The sequence below is a fragment of the Homo sapiens genome, chromosome 6, assembly GCF_000001405.40.
Source record: "Homo sapiens chromosome 6, GRCh38.p14 Primary Assembly".
Lineage (NCBI taxonomy): Eukaryota > Metazoa > Chordata > Mammalia > Primates > Hominidae > Homo > Homo sapiens.
The window spans coordinates 28974094-28992915 of record NC_000006.12 but is presented as its reverse complement, the minus strand read 5'-3'; the positions used below and the strand labels follow the sequence as shown (position 1 = coordinate 28992915).

General features: G+C 44.7%; 1 long non-coding RNA gene, 3 other non-coding genes and 1 pseudogene across 5 annotated transcripts, besides 2 other annotated features; 1 reads left to right on the top strand and 4 right to left on the bottom strand.

The window, feature by feature from the left end:
- Positions 4 to 315: a transcriptional cis regulatory region, noted in NCBI's record as "candidate enhancer chr6.1416 targeted for multiplex CRISPR interference". NCBI's record gives its function as "positively regulates ZKSCAN8 gene expression with high confidence in K562 cells {active_cell/tissue: K562}" and the evidence as "EXISTENCE:mutant phenotype evidence [ECO:0000015][PMID:30612741]".
- On the bottom strand, positions 3833 to 3914 carry TRL-AAG3-1 (tRNA-Leu (anticodon AAG) 3-1). The gene has a single exon. It is a non-coding gene; the product is annotated as a tRNA-Leu (tRNA).
- Positions 3915 to 4348: 434 nt separating this feature from the next.
- HCG15 (HLA complex group 15) lies at positions 4349 to 8167 on the bottom strand. 2 transcript variants are annotated; one of them, NR_145490.1, is made up of 5 exons: positions 7032 to 7068; positions 6684 to 6874; positions 6410 to 6603; positions 6037 to 6239; positions 4349 to 4616 (listed from the first exon to the last, which is right to left on the bottom strand). It is a non-coding gene; the product is annotated as an HLA complex group 15 (long non-coding RNA). The 2 variants fall into 2 exon arrangements; NR_135289.2 differs by lacking the exons at positions 6410 to 6603; positions 6684 to 6874; positions 7032 to 7068 and adding an exon at positions 7932 to 8167.
- Positions 8168 to 10645: 2478 nt separating this feature from the next.
- TRE-CTC1-6 (tRNA-Glu (anticodon CTC) 1-6) lies at positions 10646 to 10717 on the bottom strand. The gene has a single exon. It is a non-coding gene; the product is annotated as a tRNA-Glu (tRNA).
- Positions 10718 to 11171: 454 nt separating this feature from the next.
- TRF-GAA1-2 (tRNA-Phe (anticodon GAA) 1-2) lies at positions 11172 to 11244 on the top strand. The gene has a single exon. It is a non-coding gene; the product is annotated as a tRNA-Phe (tRNA).
- Positions 11463 to 12285: a transcriptional cis regulatory region, noted in NCBI's record as "candidate enhancer chr6.1412 targeted for multiplex CRISPR interference". NCBI's record gives its function as "positively regulates TRIM27 gene expression with high confidence in K562 cells {active_cell/tissue: K562}" and the evidence as "EXISTENCE:mutant phenotype evidence [ECO:0000015][PMID:30612741]".
- On the bottom strand, positions 15143 to 15441 carry RN7SL471P (RNA, 7SL, cytoplasmic 471, pseudogene; annotated as a pseudogene).

Sequence of the window (18822 nt, the reverse complement as noted above, 5' to 3'; positions counted from 1 at the left end):
GAAGGTTAAACAAAGGATATGTGGGCTAGACACATGGAGGACAGGAATTCCATTTGAAAAAGGAGCATACTGAATGTCAACGCCTCCAGCCTACTTTCCTTATCTCCCAGAAAGATGAGGGTCTGGCTTTCACCTCCCAGACAAAAGACGCAGTTTTCAGTGAGAAATCCAACCAGAATAGACTTGAAGATACATCAGGAGTTTCTCAGCAAGTGGCCTAGCCAGATAACCTGTAGTGAACATCAGCAAGTCATAGTCGTGCCATCAGAGCTTCCCATAGGTTTTATAGTCCTCCTCTATTAAAAAAAATGTATTGGCCGGGCGCAGTGGCTCCTGCCTGTAATCCCAGCACTTTGGGAGGCTGAGGTGGGCAGATCATCTGAGGTCAGGAGTTCAAGACCAGCCTGACCAATATGGAGAAACCCTGTCTCTACTAAAAATGCAAAAATTAGCCAGGCATGGTGGCGCTTGCCCGTAATCCCAGCTACTCAGAGTCTGAGGCAGGAGAATCGCTTGAACCCGGGAGGCAGAGGTTGTGGTGAGCCGAGATTGTGCCATTGCACTCCAGCCTGGGCAATAAGAGCGAAACTCCATCTCAAAAAAATAAATAAATAAAAAATAAAGTTTATTATAGAACATTTCAAACCCATGCAAGAGTTAAGGCAATAGAAAAATGAACTCCATGTACACATCATTCAGCTTCAACAATTATTACGTCAGGGTTAATCTTGTTTCATCTGTATCCCCACCCATTCCCTCTGCTTAAGATTATTTTCAAGCAAATGACAGAAATTGTGTTTCATCCATAAGTATTTAATTGTCTATAGGAGATAATGACTGTTTAAAAAAACTAACAATATGGGCCGGGCACGGTGGCTCACACCTGTAATTCCAGCACTTTTGGGAGGCTGAGGTGGATGGATTGCCTGAGGTCAGGAGTTCAAGACCAGCCTGGCCAACATGGTGAAACCCCGCCTGTACTAAAAATACAAAAATTAGCCAGGCGTGGTGGCAGGCGCCTGTAATCCCAGCTACTCGGGAGGCTGAGGCAGGAGAATTGCTTGAACCCGGGAGGTAGAGGTTGCAGTGAGCCGAGATCGCGCCACTGCACTCCAGCCTGGGCGACAGAGCAAGACTCAGTCTCAAAATAAATAAATAAATAAATAAACAAACAAACAAACTAACTAACAAACTAATAATAGAGCCAGGGGCACGACGGCCTATGCTGTAGTCCCAGCTACTTAAGAGGCTGAAGTGGGAGGACTCCTTGAGCCCTAAAGTTTGAGGTTAGCTTGGGCAATATTGCAAGACCCCATCTCTAAAAAACAAACCAAAAATATAAGTAAACTAACACTAGTACAGTTATCACACCTAAACAAAATTATCTATTTGGCAACATCATCAAAGATTCATTCGCTGTTCAAATTTTTCTCTAATGCCATTTTTTCTTAACATTAAAAAAAACCAAGCCAGGCACCATGGCTCACACCTGTAATCCCAGTACTTTGGGAGGCCAAGGCAAGAAGATCACTTGGGCTCAGGAGTTCAAGACCAGCCTGGGCAACATAGCAAGACCCTGTCTCTACAAAAAATTCAAAAATTAGCCAGGCATGGTGGTGCATGACTGTGGTCCCAGCTACTCGGGAGACGAGCTTGGGAGGTCAAAGCTGCAGTGAGCCGTGATTGTGCCACCACACTCCAGCCTGGGTGACAGAGTGAGACACTGTCTCAGAAAAAAAAAAAAAAAAGTATTCAAATAAGGTCAATACATTGTGATTAGTTGGTATGTATCTTAAGTATTTTAATATATAAGTTCTCCCTATATCTCTTTTTTCTTGAAATTTATTTAATGATTAACTAGGTTGCTGGTGCTGCAGAGTTTCACAGTTTGGATTTTAATTATTGCACACCTTTGGTAGTATTTAACACATTCCTCTGCCCCTGCATGTCCTAAAAATTAATAGTTAGATCTAAGGGCTTTATCAAATTCTATATTTAGATTTGATTTGGGTAAGACTACTTCATAGGTGTCAGCACAAGCCTTTTTTGTTTAACATGACTAAAGTAGTCTTCAGTAGCCTCCTTGCTTTCTGGTGAAAAGATTTTCCAGGTTCATCTGGTATATTTCCTTAGGAAGACTCTTGTTTCTAAAACTAGTACAGGAAAAAAATATAAGATCTGAATAGTCTGATACCAATTATTTAAATAGAACCTATAATATATATTCCCAGAAAGAAAACTCAAGGGTCAGATGTTTTCACCAGTTAATTCTACTAAACATGCAAGGGAAAATAATCCCAATGTTAAACTCATTTTATGAGGCCTGTATAACCTTAATACCAAACCATTAGGGAACGATGAGGAAAAACAAACAACACAAGGAAATTTTTTAAAAAAGAAAATTACAGGCTATTATCATTCATGAATGTAGTGAGAAAAATCTTGAGATAGTAACAAACTGAATCCAGGAATATACATTTTTTAAAAGATTACATGTCTTGAACAAGTTAAGATTATTCTAGCATGGAGAAGTTGGATTAGCATTCAAAAATCAATAAAGGTGGTCAGGCGTGGTGGCTCACACCTGTAATCCCAGCACTTGGGGAGTCCCAGGTGGGAGGATCACTTGAGGTCAGGAGTTTGAGACCAGCCTGGCCAACATGGCAAAACGCCCCTCTCTACTAAAAATACAAAAATTAGCCGGACCTAGTGGCCTGCACCTGTAATCCCAGTTGGGAACAATTCTGTGACAGTCCTTCTTTCTAACATACAATTCATATTATTTTCTTTTTATTCTCTTAAATCTGGAACATCATTCAAAATCTACACATAGAAAGCTATCTCCTTTTTAGTAGAGTTTGCCCCATATTAGGGCAATAACTTATCTAATCCTTGTGAACCCCCATGAGAACCCCACTAAACTCTGAGTTCCGTGGGGCAAGGACGTTCTGTGCTGTTCCCTTCCTTATCCTCTCCATACCCTCCCAAACTTTATGAAGCTGGAAAGAGGAAGAGAAGGAGATGAGGGAAGGCTTCCAAGGAGAAACAACTTCCAAGCTGAGGTCTAGAGAATGAGAGACAGACCAGAAGTATGCAGAGAGAACTGCTCCGAGGAGAGATAGGGCTCCCCCGGCAACCACAGAGATACGGGGTACTGAGAAGCCCACAGAGAAGGTACCTGACTGGGTGTGTCTGGCAGTTGTAAGGTAAGGCAAGGCACTGGCACTTTCCCTAGAGTTGTCTCTTCTCTATACCATATAACTATGGTTCCAAGTGTGAAGTGAGCACACTACAGAGAGGCTGGAGGAAGAACAGCAGCTGATTCCAAACATAAATTAATCCTTCAGGCTGCGTGCGGTGGCCCACGCCTGTAATCCCAGCACTGTGGGAGGCCGAGGAGGGAGGATCACTTGAGGCCAGGAGTTCGAGACCAGCCTGACCAACATGGCGAAACCCCGTCTCTACTAAAAATACAAAAATTAGCCAGGGCGTGGTGGCGCGCACCTGTAATCCCAGCCACTCGGGAGACTGAGGCAGGAGAATGGCTTGAACCGGGGAGGCGGAGGTTACAGTGAGCCGAGATCGTGCCACCTCACTAAGTATGTGCCATTAAGGGTTTTTTTGCTTGTGTCACTCATTGCTGTATCTGAGGCGCCTGGAGTACACTGTCCTCTAAATAATGGGGGAACATTGTTCTGGGGACGGTTATCTCTGGCTCCGTGGTAAACAGAAGTCGAAGAGGAGAATGGGATTGATACGTAAGAACCATTCATACTGAACATTTGGAAAGGGATTCTCCTAAAAACAGTCCCTAGTGAGAATGAAAAGTACTTGGCAGCGGTGGGATTTGAACCCACGCCCCCGAAGAGACTGGAGCCTTAATCCAGCGCCTTAGACCGCTCGGCCACGCTACCGTTGATTACAACTGTGTTCTTCCGCATTTTCCCTAGTAGAGAATGTCGCCCTCTACTGCGTTTAAGGTGTGTCTTTTTTCCCATTAGGGAATGTCGCCCCCCCCCCCCACCCCGGGGCGTTTAAGGTGTGCCTTCTCCCCATGACCTCTTCTCTGGAGCTCCCTCCAGCGCCATCAGAGAACTTCAGGCAGCTGTTCAGCCGCCACACACCCCGAACCCCCAACACGTTGCTTTCGCACTGATGGGAGCAGTGAGGAAGGAAACCGGCGGATCCTAGACGCCCTTCCCTTGCGTCACCGATGTAAGAGGAAGCGGCCACGCGGACGGAGACCCCCAGGGGACGCTGTGGTTCGCAGGTTCGCTGTGGAAGGTGACGCCTGGCTGGAGCCCCGACGCCGCTGAGCGAGTTTCAAGTGGTTTTGGCCGACGGAACTCTACGAAAAAACGGGGCGCCGTGCGAAAGAGCGCAGTCCTTGCTGTTTATGAAGGTAAAAATTCAGAAGGTGACCCGCGGTCCCCGCAGAAATGCCCGCCGGGCAAAAGGCACAAGACGGTTCAGTTTGAAACCTCAAGATTCGAATCATTTAAAAGTATAGTTGCTGCTATAGTATAATGCAATGCATTGACAAAGTTGTTCGTTGCGTTTCTCTTAGTGCAGGCGACAGCGCGTCGGTCTCCTTGGCCCAAAATTTTGACTGAGTCCTAAAATAAAAACGCATTGTGCAAAAAATTATGACAAATAAGATCATAATAAAGAAAGTTAACTAGCGCTGGAGTTTCTTATTGTTTTGTCATTCATCTTCATTAAAATCACTGCTGACGGAAGTTTTTATCCAATATGCCAGTGGAAACTATGCTGTCTTAGAATTCTTTTTTTTTTTTTTTTTTGGAGATGGAGTTGGCTAGAGTCCAATATCGCGATCTCGACTCACCGCAACCTCCGCCTCCCAGGTTCAAGCAATTCTCCCGCCTCAGCCTCCCGAGTAGCTGGGATCACAGGCATGCGCTACCAAGCCCGGCTAATTTTGTATTTTTAGTAGAGATGGGGGTTTCTCCATGTTGGTCAGGCTGGTCTGGAACTCCCGACCTCAGGTGATCCGCCCGCCTCGGCCTCCCAAAGTGCTGGGATTACAGGCGTGAGCCACCGCGCCTCCCAAAGTGCTGGGATTACAGGCGTGAGCCACCGCGCCTCCCAAAGTGCTGGGATTACAGGCGTGAGCCACCGCGCCCGGCTGTCTTACAAATTCTTATATTTGAGTTGTTCATACGGAATTTACTGCATAGTGCCTGGTGTTAATTTCCTGTGGTTACTGTAACAAATTATCAGAAACTGTCTAAAAACAACAGATATGTATTCTCTTACAACAGATATGTATTTCTGAAGGCCAGAAATCCACAATCAGTATGTGGGCCAAAATCAAGGTGTGGGCTGCGTCCAGCTCCCTCTAGAAACTTTAGAGTAAAATCCTATCCTGGCCTTTTCCAGCTTCTGGTGGTTGCTTGTTGACTTATACTGATTCAGTAAAAGTACCTCGTCAATACTAAAAGTTGCAATACTCTTAGCAATACATTATTTCCTAAGGAAATTACTTTAGGAAAATTACTAAGAAAAAAGATTTCCAAGAAAGCAAAAGCAACACAGTCACTCCCTTTTTTGAGACGAAGTCTCAGTCCGTCGCCCAGGCTAGAGTGCAATGGCGCCATCTCGGCTCACTGCAACCTCTGCCTCCCGGGTTCCGGGTTCAAGCGATTCTCCTGCCTCAGCCTTCCGAGTAGCTGGGACTACAGGCATTCGCCACCACGCCCAGCTAATTTTTGTATTTTTAGTAGAGACAGGGTTTCACCATATTGGCCAGGCTGGTCTCGAACTCCTGACCTTGTGATCCGCCTGCCTTGGCCTCCCAAAGTGCTGGGATTACAGGCGTGAGCCACGGCGCCCGGCCTGCACACCCGCCCCCCTGCTCTTTCTCCTGGTCTCACTTTCCTCTGTTCCTCCGTATTCCCCAAGGTAGGCGCGCCTCTTTTGTCACCTGCTGTGTCAATCTGGGCTCTCTGCCTGGTTCTCTCAGTCCCTCACAACAGCAATAGTTTCCTCTCCACTATCAAGGCTATATTCTCCTACCAGTTCTAGATCTCTGAGAGCAAGATGGCCGAACTTGAGGGAGACCACTTTTTGACAGCTTTAACCTTCAAGGACACAGAGCAAGGGTGCCCTCCTGCTAGGTGCTAATTGGTTCAATGCTTCATCAGCTGCATCTTGGTCCATCAAAGGCATCATTCCAGAGACTGATTTTCTCTCTGGTGTTTGCAATCCTGCACGGTAAACTAGGAGGGTGAAAACAAAACAGAAAAATGGGAGAAATTATTTGAAAGTGACGATATCAACCAGTGAACATCAGGAATCCATTAACCCGTTCAACAAGTATTGACTGAATGCCTACTCTGTGCCTGGGCACTGAGTATTCAGGACGAACGCTGACACCGGCGGTCCTCACCTTCACAGCTAGGAGGAAAGGCCAACTGATTAAGCAATTGCAAGTCATCATCGTGACTGAATTGGTGCTGGGTCACACAGCTCGGGATTGGAACTTAGTGTCGATCTGGAAAGGCCTGCTTGGAGAAATTCACGAATGCACTGAGGAATGGGGTGGGGGTAGGAGGTTGGAGCGAGACAAGACTGGCCAAAAGTCTGAAAAGAAAAAGACAATTTGGGTTTGAACCCGCAACAGAACAAGCCCCACAACCCTTCTCTCTCCGTAGAATCCCTACCTCCCGGAGGGAAGACTGAGAATCCTGAAGGGGTCAGGAATGAGAAGGACAAAGGAGAAAGAAAAGAGTAGGACGGCTTCTCCCACGGATCAATCGCGTAGGTGGTGGTGGTCCCTGACAGCTGCAGCTGCCTGATCACTGCTGGATCTGTGATTCTAAAATTCTGAGCAGTAACGAGCCCAAGCGTGCACCTGAGGAAAGAGTAAGGGCACACAAAGTCAGAACAAAGTATGTATGTATTTGAGCCAGGGCCTCGCTCTGCCACGATCAGAGCTCATTGCGGCCTCGAACTTCTGGGCTCAAGAGATCCTCCCGCCTCAACCTCCGAGCAGCTGGAACTACACGTACACGTGACCGCGCCTAGTTTTTCTTTCTTTTCTTTCTCTTTCTTTTCCTTTCTCTCTCTCTCTCTCTTCCCCCCGCCCACCCCCCCCCCTTTTTGGTAGAAACGGGGGTCTCGCTTTTTTGTCCTGGCTGATCTCGAAATCCGAGGCTTCAAGCGACCCTCCCGCCTCCGCCAGAGGAAGAATGTAAACGGGACAGGAATGTGTCTCTGCTCCCCCGCCCTGGCGAGGGACTTGCTAGTATCCTCTATCCAACTGCTGGCTGAATGTGTTCTCTCTAGGAATCGAGGAGGACTGCCTTTCTCGCTGGTTCTATTTCAGTCCCGATCCCACAGCTTCAGTCCAACCGGTTTGCTTTGTTTGATAGGCTGGGCATGAGAGTGAGATTTGGAGCTATCCTCACAGATTCCTGGAAGTTGAACAGATCTCTGATGAGTCCTCTCTTTAGAACTAAACTGATTCCCCCAGGACCTACCAACTTGAGGAATTTTCTGGGAAGCACTTAGGTACCTGTACGGACTTGTCAACAACTGCCATACGTAAGAGACTCTAATTCCAGCTTTACTGTGCATGACCAGAAAGCTTGAAATTGAAATCTTGATGCCATCCCATAGTTAACCGAGATTTTCCAGGTTTATATATAGTTCAGAATTCAAAGTTCTGAAAATCTAAGAGCTTTCACAACTCTGCGCTTTTGCTTCTCCTGAGACGCTTGTCCTGGAATGCTGGTTTCCATTTTGTTCCCTAATAAAAATCTTGTTCATTCTTCAAAGCCCACTTCAAATAGGGTCTTCCCCACCCCACCTCCAAATCTCCCTCTCTCTCTCACATACACACACCCCATTGTATTTTTCCACACTTCATTTTAGCAGGTAACTCTGTGCCCAATAGAAAATTTACTCACTTGGCGGGGCGCGGTAGCTCACGCCTGTAATCTCAGCACTTTGGGAGGCCGAGGCGGGCGGATCACCAGGTCAGGAGATCGAGACCATCCTGGCTAACACGGTGAAACCCCGTCTCTACTAAAAATACAAAAAATTAGCCGGGCGTGGTGGCGGGCGCCGGTAGGCCCAGCTACCTGGAGGCTGAAACAGGAGAATGGCGTGAACCCAGGATGCAGAGCTTGCAGTGAGCCGAGATGGCGCCACTCCACTCCAGCCTGGGCGACAGAGCGAGACTCTGTCTAAAAAAAAAAAAAAAAAAAAAAAAAAGGAAAACTTACTCACAGTATCTGTCTCCTTCATTCCCCAAGTACGGTGAGAAGAATGATGATGATGATAATATTAATAACACGGATTTGGATAATTGGCTGACTGCTTTTGTGTATTATGTTATTGACTCATCGCAACTTTATATAGTAAATACTGTAATACTTTTATTCCCATTTTACAGTTGAGAAAATTGGGATTTGGGGGGTGTTAAGAGGTGAGATTTCTGTCTTGGTCATTTTTCATTTTCCATAGTGACTAGTGTAGTACAAGCCTACTGGCTCTGAATATTTGCAGATTGATTCCTTGACCCTAGCTGTTGACTTTTTTTTTTTTTTTTTTTTTTTTTAGTAGTCTTTCACATTCTCTTTCCTCCTCTTGTCTTGATGCATATTTTGGTTTTGTTATATTTTTTCGACGTTCTCTCTGAGCTGACGAGTAAACGGTAGCAAGTCTGGTGAATAAACAGAACCTACCGTGCCAAAATTAGGGAATTTTTTTTCCTATGGACAATGAATAATAGCTCAGATGAGAAGGAAAGAAACTGGTAGCATTCGAAGAAGAGTTCTTTTTCTCTAATCCAATTAGCTTTATGTGGAAAATGAAAGAAAAGAAAAGAAAAGAAAAAAAGAGGCATTAATCAAGATAAGTTAAGCCAGACAGTTCCTTTCACAGGGGTCCCAACCAGACTGTTTTCTGAAAGCAGAGGCATAAAAACTAATGAAGCAAGAGATTCTTGCTGCACATAGAGGAGACAACGTGTGATATCACGAAAAGAGGGTGCTTTTCAAGAACTGATCACCAGCAGGCCTAGAGGGTTGAATTCCTATGAAACATTAGATTAAAAGGCTTCCGTATATACAGGAATTTTACAAACCATATTACTTTTATGTCTATGTCAAAATAAGATTTCTTAGTCAAATTGATCTTATGTATGTGTCAAAGTTTATTAATTCAAGGACAGAACTGACAAGATGACAAAAGAGTGTCCCATCTCAAGGAAGTTTTGGAAACTGTGAATATATGGAGCCAGGGAAGAGAAGAGAAAGTGCAATTAATTAGAAAAAGTCCTGCTTCATTTAACTGGATCATAACAACATCACATCCTGGCTGGAAGCGGTGGCTCACGCCTGTAATCCCAGCACTTCGGGAGGCTGAGGCGGGTGGGTCTCTTGAGATCAGGAGTTCGAGACCAGCCTGGCCAACATGGTGAAACCGCGTCTCTACTAAAAATACAAAAATTAACCTGGAGTGGTGGCACGTGCCTTTAATCCCAGCTACTCGGGAGGCCGAGACAGGAGAATTGTTTGAACCCGGGAAACGGAGGTTGCAGTGAGCTGAGATCGGGCCACTGCACTCCAGCCTGGGCGACAAAGAGAGACTCCATTTCAAAAAACAAACAAAAAATCACATATTCCATTTGTTGGTGAAATAAGATCAGGAGCACCACGATCTTTGTTTGGAAACTTGTAGAGAAGTCATACGTGCCCCAAACTCTTAGCAGATATAAGAAAGAAATAATAAGCAATAGCTGCTCTTTAGACAGACCAAGAAACAAAGATTCATGCCCCGATATTGTCAGACAGGAACCAGTTAGCACAGGGTCACCAAACCTTGTCAGGAGAGAAACAAAAAGTCTGCTTTTTCTCCAGTAGCTCTCGGTAAATTTACCAAATGTGCATTCAGAGATGGTGCTGAATTCATTGTTTGCCTGTTTCTCAGTTTTGTGACAGCAGGTTTTAATTTCATGTTTATGACCTTCTCCTATCCTCTCTTAGGAAAAAAACATAATTTGTACCTTCATAGGGGAAAAAAGGTTGAAGCGCTGGAGAGATGAAGCAGTCCTGAAACTGCTTTGGCCCAGAATATTAAATTACTGTGTAGGTATTTCTAGGGCTATCCCCTAGCGCCCAGTTGGAGCAGCGTGAAACTTACAGAGAAATCCGAGGAAGATAGAGTAGGTGTCTAAACCACCGAGGCTCTAGCAGCTTCAGAAGCTTGAACACAGCGATCAAATCTCCCAGAAATGACTTCGCCATTTCTTCTCTGTCATCTTCATAACTGTCTTTTCAAAAGGTTATGCTAATCTCAACTAACTCCTAATGGATTGTCTCCGGAATTTCCCGCTTACTGAATCACCCAATTGAGTTAAAAATGTTAAAGCGCTTACTTAGAACAATGCCGGACACTCGGTCTACGCTAGATTAAGTATTCATTAATAAATGTTTTAAAATAATTGAAAATTACATTGCTTGTCATTTTGTACCTGGAATACTAAAACAGGAACAGGGTTTCTATGCAGAAAATGCCTCCTATGAAAATTGAAAGTTAACTTATCCACAATTTGCTGTTTACTCAGAGATTTCGTTCCTGGATGAAAGAATTTGGAGGTTAAAACAGAAAAACCTCATTCCCTGACCGGGAATCGAACCCGGGCCGCGGCGGTGAGAGCGCCGAATCCTAACCACTAGACCACCAGGGAAGCTGAAGTAGGTTTATTAAAACATATTTATGAAGCGAGAACTCAACACATACGCACACAGTTGACTTCTACTTTTCCGACGAGTTAGTGCACGGTCATGCTCTCGTATTCACTGACCTCCTGTTTTGCACCAACCAATAAAATCTGGACGGCAGAGGGCGTGGCAATGCCATAAGAGTAATTTGGGAAGTTCGTAACTGGATGATGGAACGTGCTCTGTTTCGATGTGTGCATTCAACCGAGAATAAATTGTAGCATCAATTTGTAATTGTCTTCTTGCTTTTCTTTGCATAAAGTGGTGAGCCATTTGAAGAACGAAATAATTTTTTAATTTGTCTTTGGTTCCTTCGGAGTACCTGTCATTGTGGGTTTTTTTTTTAATAAATACCTAATAGTAAATAAAAAACATAAGTAATAAATTCATTAAGCCTTATTTTTAAGTGGCGTGGGCGGAGCCGAAATAGCTCAGTTGGGAGAGCGTTAGACTGAAGATCTAAAGGTCCCTGGTTCGATCCCGGGTTTCGGCATGAGAGCGCTCGGTTTTTTGTGCCCACGGCAATACAAATATGGAATTTTCCTTCTACAATACAGAAACACTCCTTAGAACCTAAAATGGGGTCATATTTTTCTCAAATTCATAAAGGAAATCGCAAGAACACTGTGGGATACGTTTATTTCTGTAGCAGAACTCTAGGTATGGGTTTCAACATCTCACTAGATAAAAGAAGAAAAGGCAAACGTGCTGAAAGAAGTTTAATCTTGAGCAATACTAATTACATTTTATTTGCGACCTCTGTTCCCTCAATAAATATTTATTAAGTGAATTGTTAGTGTTATGCGCGCGTCTAACTGAAGAGACAACCTGAACAGGCTAAGTGTGAGCAACAAGCTGTTTATTCACTCTGGTCCGAGCGGGCTGAGTCCGAAAAGGGAGTCCCACCACCGGAGGGTGGTGGGATTGCAGCTAGTTTTATAGGTTAGGAGTAAGCAGTGGAAAGATACAATAAGGGCCCGTTTATTGCGGGCAAGGGAAGAATGTCACAAGGTACATTATCACAAGGTGGGAGGGGTCACAGAGCACAGTGTCACGAAGTTGATTGATCAGTTAGGGTAGAGCATGTTACAATGGTAGAAGGTCGCAAGGTTGGCTAATCAGCTAAGACAGGAGCTGTTTTTCTTCTTTTGTGGTTTTCCTGTTGTCCCAGACTTTCTGGCTCCAGGAGACCTTCTGGATGTGTACGTGTGGGTCACAGGGGTCACAATGCCTTGATCATAGCACAGCCTGCTCCGAGGAAAAGGATAGAGAGAGGCACGGCCGGTGAACTGAAGGGAAGTTTCCTGGAAAAAGGAGCCGCCTAAGCTGTTGAAAAAGTGGCTACTTGCTAGAGGTGGGGGAGGGGAGGGGTGGCTGCTGCGCTGTGAAAGGGAGACAGCCAGCATATTCCCTCAGCCACCTTTTTCCTAACCTCCTAATTTGCTAGCTCTTGGCATATTCAACCCCTGTCTTCCTACTCGGAGGAATGGTCTCTCATTTCCAAGTCTACTTAATATTCCATCTGAGCTTTTGAACCCTCTACCCATTCCATTTTGCTCTATGTTTGTGTCTTTCATCTCTCTCCTCCTTACGTGCCTCTCTTCAAATTACAGAATGTCTAAACCTCTATCTTTGGACAACAAAAATGGAACACATGACCTTATGCATTATCCTCAGACTCTTTCCTTCCACTCAGCACCAAACCTGTTGAAAGAACAATGTTTACCTCATTATTTGCTCATCAGCGGAGGAGGTCTGCCTTCCAATCCCAGGAAACCATTACCATCAACTTTCCAACTTTCAAATGTCTTGGCTGTTTTTGGTCCTATACTTAATTTTGCACAGTATACCAACCTATAAACAATCCTTCCCTTATGAAGCAGTCCTCCTTTGGACTTTGGGATTTTGAAGCAGCCTCGTTGTCTGGGGTGACACCCTAGATTCATCGTCTCACAGCCACAGAGATCAAGGACCTGGACACACAGAGAGGTTAAGAGTGGAAATTTAATAGGCGAAAGAAAGAAAATATCTCTCTGCTACAGAGAGGGGTCCTGGAAAAATGGGTTGCCGAAATTCGGTGAAATGCAGGGGGTTTTACAGATGAGCTAGTGGGGAGATGGTGTCTGATCTACATAAGGCATGAAAAACCCAGATAGGACCAGGTGTGCCAACTGCATAGGGTGTGAATCTCTGGCAACCCTCACCCCAATCTGTTATTATGCAGGTGGGTTCTCTGCCTGAACTTCTCCATGTTGCCCATTTCTTTCTTACTGTACACATGCTAACAAAAAAGGGAAGGTGGAGCCTCATGGTGGACATGCCTCACCCCCAGGTAGACCTTTTCTATCGGTGCAGCTGCCAGCCTTCCCCCATGCAAGTTTCCAGCTTCCTTATCTATGTCTGCAGCTCCATCTTGCAGGCTGCTCTTTGTTAGAAAAGGAATAATTTCTAGGGCTGCTTTTTGTTAGAAGAGAAGTTCTGCCGAGGACTCTTTTGCCCTAACTACCTAAGCAATTTCTTTGTATCTCCTGTATCAACTTGACTCTCCATTATTTTTCTCCATACTCTCTTGCTCTTCCCTTTCAGCTCCCTATCCCTCCAATTTTAATGACTTTGGTCTTTTTTTAAATTAAATGTTTAATTTTTAGGTAGTCGTAGATTCACATGCAGTTATAAGAAATAATATGGAGAGGTCCCATGTCCCCTTTACCTGCTTGCCCCCAATGGTAACATCTTGCAAAACTATAGCACAAAATCACAATCCGGATATTGATATTGATATTGATAAAGTCAAGATGCAAAACATTTCCATCACCACAAGGATTCCTTTTGGCCCTTTTACAGCCACACCCACTTGCCTACTGTTCCTGCCTCAACCTCTGGCAACTAGTAATCTGTTTTTCACTTTTATGATTTCATCATTTCGAGAATGTTATGAAAATGGAATCATACATTATGTAACCTATTAGGATTGGCTTTTTGCACTCAGTGTAATTCTCTAGAGATTCATCTAGGTTGTTCAGCATCAGTAGTTCATTCTTATTTCTCGCTCACTAGCATTCTGTGGTATGAATTTACCAGTTTGAACATTCACCTGCTGAAAGACATTTGAGTCATTTTCAGCTTTTGACTTTTACAAATAAAGCTACCATAAACATTTGCATACTGGTTTTAGTGTTAATATAAATTTTCGTTTAGCCAAGATAAATGTCCAGGAGTGCAGCTGCCGGGTGGTATGGTACTTGCACATTTAGCTTTTTAAGAAACTGCCAACTGTTTTCCAGAACAGCTACATTTCACATTCCCACCTACATGTATACAGCCTCATCAGCATTTGGTTGTTGCCACTATTTTTATTTTAGTCATTCTGATAGATGTATAGTGATATCTCATCTTGGTCGTAATTTGTATTTCCCTAGTGCTAAGGATGTTGAAAACATTTTTATGTGCTCGTTTGCCATCTGTATATCTTCTTCGGTGAAATGTCTCTTTAGGTGTTTTATCCAATCCGATAAGAATAGTTGTGTACAGGTTTTTATGTGGGAAGTTCCTGAAAAAGCTGGAAGTTCAAACCTTTTCCAAATCTCTGTCTTAGATTATGAAGTTCTCATGCCATGCAATTTGTTTTTTAAAAAAATTATTTAGTGATACTTCTGAAAGCAATGTAAGGAAGACTATTCAGGACTATCGGGATAGGCACAAGGGACCATTGCAAGGAGGTTTTGCAGTGAGGGAAAGAGATCGGCCTCAGTTCTGAATATAGCATGGGCAAATGGGAATTTATAGCCAAGGAGCAGTGTGTCCTGGTCAGTGGACAGGAAATTACCAAGAGAAAACCTCAGAGGTAAGGGGAATTCTGGCCAAACAAACCTAACAGGATTCTTGCTGAAGACAGGCCAAGGTAATCAGACATCAATCATCTGGGGGATGGTGGAGAATGAGGAGCCTGATCAGAAATGGAGGTTAAACATAGATGATATGGGGGTTCTTGCTAAACTGACTTGGCAGGGTTCTTTGCTAAAACTGGACGTTACAAGGAAGTGCACAGATGGGCCTAGCAGAAGATTCAGAAGCCTGACTAAAGTTTGGCCAAGCGAATAGTCTTTGTTAAATTCTTATGCAACTGCATTTGCAAAATGCAAAACAGACTACTGTCTTGTTGTTTGGGGAAAGGAAGAGTGCAACATGGAGAAATTTCCAAGATGATAAGTCACTAACGAGTTTCTTCCGGCTCCCACTGACTGAATGAATCATCATTCCCTGAGGGGTAAAAAAAAAAAAAAGGAAGATCGAGCAAAGGGTAGCATATACCAGTCCCACCAGTGAACTCACTTGGTATGCAGAAATAATGCTGTTGATTTTTTAAAAGAAATCCCGAAAAGGGAAGTTAAAAGAGACCGGGTCTCGTCGGATGTCCCGGGCGGAACTGCAGGCGTTGCTCGCAGGCGCGGTCCCACCGTCGCCCAACACGGGGAGTTTGACCTGCTCCGTGTCCGGCCTGGGCCTGGTCCCCCCCTCCTTAGACAACCTGGTACTCCCGGGCTCCCCCGGGAGTACCATGTTGGTGCCAGGCCCGGTGCGGACGCCCGCTCCACACAGCGCCGTAGCTCCGAACCCCCGAGCACCCACGATCCGCCGACCTCAGCCTCCCGGGGAGCTGGGATTACAGGCGCGCGCCACCGCGTCCGGCGCTTGGTTTGGTGGCACCGCGGTCTTGGAGGCTGCAACTGCCGACTGCGTGTGCTGGGAGGCGGGATCCGTGCAGCGGTTTCCTCGCCGCCCAGCCGGCTGCCGCTCCAGATTGCCAGAAGTGCCTGATAGAACTAGCTGAAGAGACCGCAGAAAGCACTGGCAGAGAGATGAATGAGCATCCCTTACTATGTTGTCCTCGGAACCTTTACAAAAAGGTCAATTAAACAAACAGCTGTAAATTTAATAAGGGAAAGAGTGAAGGACTGTGTTGAGTGGGTTTCACAGACTTCAATACGTATATGAAATCACCTGGGGAGCTTGCTAAAATGAAGAGTTCTAACGCTGTAGGTGTAGGATGGGGTGTAGATATTCTGCATTTGTGAGAAACTCCCAGGTTAGGTCAGTGTTGCTGATCAGCAGCCCACGCTGCAAGTGACAAGGTTGTTGATGCTTTTGGACCTGATGGTTCTACAAGTTCTTGTCACATCATTATAATATTAGAACATGAAAAGAAAAGAAAGAAAGAAAGAAAGAGAGAGAAAGAAAGAGAAAGAGAGAGAAAGAAAGAGAGAGAGAAAGAAGAGAGAGAAAGAGAAAGAAAGGAAGAAAGAAAGAAAGGAAAGAAACAGAGAAAGAAAGAAAGGAAAGAAAGAAAACCACAGTTCCAGCCTCACAAGTGACTCTAGACATTTTCTTTCTTGTTTTTTAGCTCTTGTCCTCACGCATACATAATTTTTTCCATGGTGGAAGCCATGACATTTGTACGATTTCATGTTGGGTGCATTTCCACCTTGTGTAAGTGGTAAATATGTACAGATAATTGTTCAATCACTCCTTCTGTCAGCCAACATTAACTGAGACCCTTTTCTGTGCCATATACAGTAGGTCTACCTGGGGAATCTGAGAGTACAAAATGCACTCCTCTAAGGAGCTTATGGCCTGTTAAAGAATAGAAGACGGCCGGGCCTGGTGGCTTACGCCTGTAATCCCAGCACTTTGGGAGGCCGAGGCAGGCAGATCACGAGGTCAGGAGATGGAGACCATCCTGGCTAACATGGTGAAAACCTGTGTCTACTAAAAATACAAAAAATTAGCCGGGCGTGGTGGTGGGCACCTGTAGTCCCAGCTACTCGGGAGGCTGAAGCAGGAGAATGGTGGGAACCCGGGAAGCGGAGCTTCCAGTAAGCCGAGGTCGCGCCACTGCACTCCAGCCTGGGCGACGGAGTGAGGCTCCGTCTCAAAAAAGTAAATAAATAAATAAATAAATAAATAAATAAATTTTAAAAAAGAATAGAGACAAGTAAATCAGTGAGAGTGAAGATTTACTCCTAAGTTCTTCCATAGGTGTAAGGGCAGGGTACTGTGTACAAGATCACCAATACAGGCACCTAATCTGAACAAGAATGGCTTACTGGATGAGGTGCTACCTGAAATATGTCTTAAAGATAAGCTATAATTAGGCACATAAAGAAGGGCATGGAAAAATTTTTACCATCAAGTCCTGACAGAAGCAAAGCTAAAAAGGTATGAATGCCTGGGAAAATTACTAGTTCCTAGTTCAAGTAGACCTGAGCAGAAAATCAAAGGTTCATGGACCAAAGTAAAAAGATGAAGCAGTGGCTGAGGCCTGTAGTCCCAGCACTTTGGGAGGCCAAGGCAGGAGGATTACCTGAGGTCAGGAGTTCAAGACCAGCCTTGGCAACTTGGTGAGACCCCCCGCCACCGACACACACTAAAAATACAAAAATTAGCCAGGTGTGGTGGCACACACCTATAATCCCAGCTACTTGAGAGGCTGAGGCATGAGAATCGCTTGAACCCTGGAGGCAGAGGTTGCAGTGAGCTGAGATTGTGCCACTGCACTCCAGCTTGGGTGACAGAGTGAGACTCCATCTGAAAAAAACAAAAAAAAAGGATAAAGATGAGGCTACAAAGGAAAAAATCGTTACTTTGTGTAGTATACAGTCTCCAAAAACTGACCTCAATGCAGCATATTTTTCGGTCGTTACACCCTTTTGTAGTCCATTCCCACAGTGAATCTTGGCTGACCTAACAAAATTATTTCATTGAGGTGATACTGTGCCAGTTCCAGGGCTAAGCCATGTGAAATCTTGCACCTTCTGACTTGGTTTTCTGGAATGCTAAATCTTGGGATGCTCCCTCTCAGAATCCAGTCACCATGCCATGAGAAACCCAAGCCACATGAAAAGGCCATGGCTAGGCACTGTGGGTCACAGTCTCAACTGACTGAGGTCCTAGCAACATCAACTGCCACTGCCAGTTATGTGAGTGAGCCATCTTGAACATCCCTAGCTCAATCAAGCCTTCAGAGGAATGGAGTCCTTACTGACATCATGTGGAGCAGAATCACCCAGGTAAGCCCAGTCTATTCACAGAATTGTAAGAAATAGTAAAACGGCTGGCATTTCAAGACATGTGTTAGTTTTCTATTGCTGTCATAACACATTACCACAAATGTAGTGGTTATAAAAAACATAAATTTATTATTTAGAGTTTTTTAAGACAGAAGTCTGGTATGGTCTCACTGTGCTAAAATCAAGGTATTGGCAGGCTGCATTCCTTTCTGTTGGCCCCAAGGGAGAATCTGTTTTCTGCTCATTCAGATTATTGGCAAAATTCAGTTGTTTGCAGTTGTTGGATCAAAGTCTCTGTTTTATTGCTGCCTGTAAGCTAATGGCCACTCCCAGCTTCTAAAGGCTGCTGTGTTGCTGGGCTCTTTAAAACCAGCAATGGTGGATGGCGTCCTCAGATCACACCTCCCTGAACTACTCTTCTGCTTCCTCTTTCCACTTTTAAGACTCTAGTGATTAGGATCATCTCTCCATCACAAGTTCCCTAACCTTAATCACATCTCAAAGTCCCTTTGCCATGTAAGTTAACATATTTACAGTTTCCAAGGGTTAGAAGGGGCATATTTTTGGGTGGAAATAGCATTATTCTGTCTATCACTCCATTTGGAATTGTCTCTTGTATATTGGTAGGAAGTAAGAACAAACTGTGAGCCGTATCTTGACAATACTAAATACTTTGAGCTTTCCCTAAAAGGCTATGGAGAGACAGAAAAGTGTTCTGAACAGAGAGGTCAGTATGACGGGTATTTTTGCAAGCTCTTCTTGCCAGTTCTGTGGAAGCAGAGCCACAGCTAGCACACAGAGTGCCTTTGGGCAAATAATGCAACAGTAAGGCTGGGCGCAGTGGCTCAGGCCTCTAATCCCAGCAGTTTGGGAGGCCCAGGTGGGCGGATCACCCAAGGTCGGAAGTTCGAGACCAGCCTGGCCAACATGGTGAAACCCCATCTCTACTAAAAATACATGGTGGCGCATGCCTGTAATCCCAGCTACTCGGGAGGCTGAGGCAG